Raw genomic sequence first — 2,004 nt, 5'->3', positions numbered from 1 at the left:
TCACAGCCTTGAGTCCTGACTGGACTCAGGAGGGCCATGTGGCCGAGAGGAAAAGGTGTCAGGTCTCAGGGATGCTGGGAGCTCCGGCTCTGCCTGGCTGGCTTCATTATAGACCAGGTAAGAAGAATCTGGTTTCATCGCTATTGGCGTTCCTCTAAGGGACTCCTCATCTCTTCAAGAAAAGGCTGTTCTTATCCATACACCTAAGCCAGAGAGGGCCCCAGCTGTGGGCAGGATGACCCCAGAGGAGAGCGAACTCCAGGGCCAGCCTCGCTGCAGCCAAGGGGTGCTCCAGCAGAGCAGGTAGAGGAGTCCAACAGACGGGAGGCTGCATCCGCAGCAGTGCCAAACCCTCCTCCCAGGCAGAAACACAAGAGCACCCGTCCACAGCCCGCAGGTGAGGTACTCACGCCCTGCCGAAGACACGGTGACCAGAAGACGACAAGGAGGGATGGTGAGTGGAGTGGGCACCGCGGCACGGGCATCCAGGAAAGGAGGCGTTCCTTCCAGTCCCAGCGCGTGTGGCTCTTTCCAAGTCAGCTGAGTGCTTGAGGCAGGGAAGGGAGCTCTAAAAGATGCCCAGCACTGAGTGTATGTTCAGCTTCCTCTGGGAGATGCATCTTTTCACCAACCCATGGAGCTGATGACTCAGGGTTACCTCCACTGTGAAGCTGGTGTTCTCAGAAGCCCAAAGTGCGGAGGGCAGTGGGGCTGATGATGCTGGTCTTCTTGGATTAGTGGCCTGGGGGCTCCCTATGGCAAACATTCTGACCATGGCACGCCTAACTTTGGGGCTGGTCACTCTCTGTAGGGCTGACAGGGCTGTCCCTGCACTGTGGGGTGTTTAGAAGAATTTCTGGCCTCTGCCTACTGCATGCAACAGCAACCCTTTCACAAACACAAGGGTTATGACAAGCATTAATGTCTTCAGACATTGCCTGATGACCTCTGGGGGGTACAAGTGCCCCCAGTTGAGAAACAACGCTTAATTAGAGCGTGTTGTTGACACACATTTACACACCTTTCCCAACACCTTGTTCAGGGTTAGAGGTGTGGATTACAGTAAATAAATTAATGTGCCAATGAATGTGGCAGTTGGGAGCAGTCAAACAGCTCCATCAGTTCCCAGGTTTAGCAGAAACGCTGGGTGAAAACAATAATTAGACAGGGTGTTGAAATGGAAATTCTAGATCACTGTGTATTCCAATGCAAAGTGTTAGACTAGCAGGAAGATATTTTTAAGGTAAAAGACATAAAAATGTTTAGAGCAGGAGCGGGCGGTGGCCGCCTGTGCAGCAATGGCCAAGATCAAGGCCTGAGACCCTCGAGGGAAGAAGAGGAACTGCTGAAACAGCTGGACAACCTGAAGGTGGAGCTGTCCCAGCTGCGTGTCACTAAAGTGACAGGCGGTGCAGCCTCCAGGCTGTCTAAGATCCGAGTCGTCCGCAAATCCATTGCCTGTGTTCTCATGGTTATTAACCAGAGAAAACCTCAGGAAATTCTACAAGGGCAAGAAGTACCAGCCCGTGGACCTGCAGCCTAAGAAGACATGCGCCATGAGCCACTGTCTCAACAAGCACGAGGAGAACCTGAAGGGCAAGAAGCAGCAGTGGAAGGAGTGGCTGTCCCCGCTGAGGAAGGAGGAAGGAGCGCCTGTCCCTGCTGAGGAAGTACACGGTCAAGGCCTGAGTGGTGCATTGTCAGTAAAGCACAGCTGGCTGAGAAACAAAACAAGATGTTTAGAGCGTTTTGTCATTCCTCAGTGGAGGGTGTAACTGTAAGGCGCGTTCCATTTCTTTGGAGAGAGCTGTGCTGTCAATTCCACCTACCACATGGTTCTATCTCCCAACCCTGAGAGCAGTGAGAGGGGCTGGAGCAGATGACCCATGAGGGTTTTTGTAGAAGATTTCTCTGGAGATCTGCGCGGTGAGTCCCATCTAGGGGAGAGGTGGGGATGTGACACCTCCTGAGACTAAGTACAGTGGACTCAGGGACACCGTCAAA

General features: G+C 53.0%; 1 pseudogene; it reads left to right on the top strand.

Annotated features, from left to right (window-relative positions):
- RPL35P8 (ribosomal protein L35 pseudogene 8) lies at positions 1,271–1,724 on the top strand (annotated as a pseudogene).

The sequence above is a fragment of the Homo sapiens genome, chromosome 22 (assembly GCF_000001405.40).
Source record: "Homo sapiens chromosome 22, GRCh38.p14 Primary Assembly".
Lineage (NCBI taxonomy): Eukaryota > Metazoa > Chordata > Mammalia > Primates > Hominidae > Homo > Homo sapiens.
Note: the sequence above shows the minus strand (reverse complement) of the source record. Positions and strands in the feature narration are given on the sequence as shown.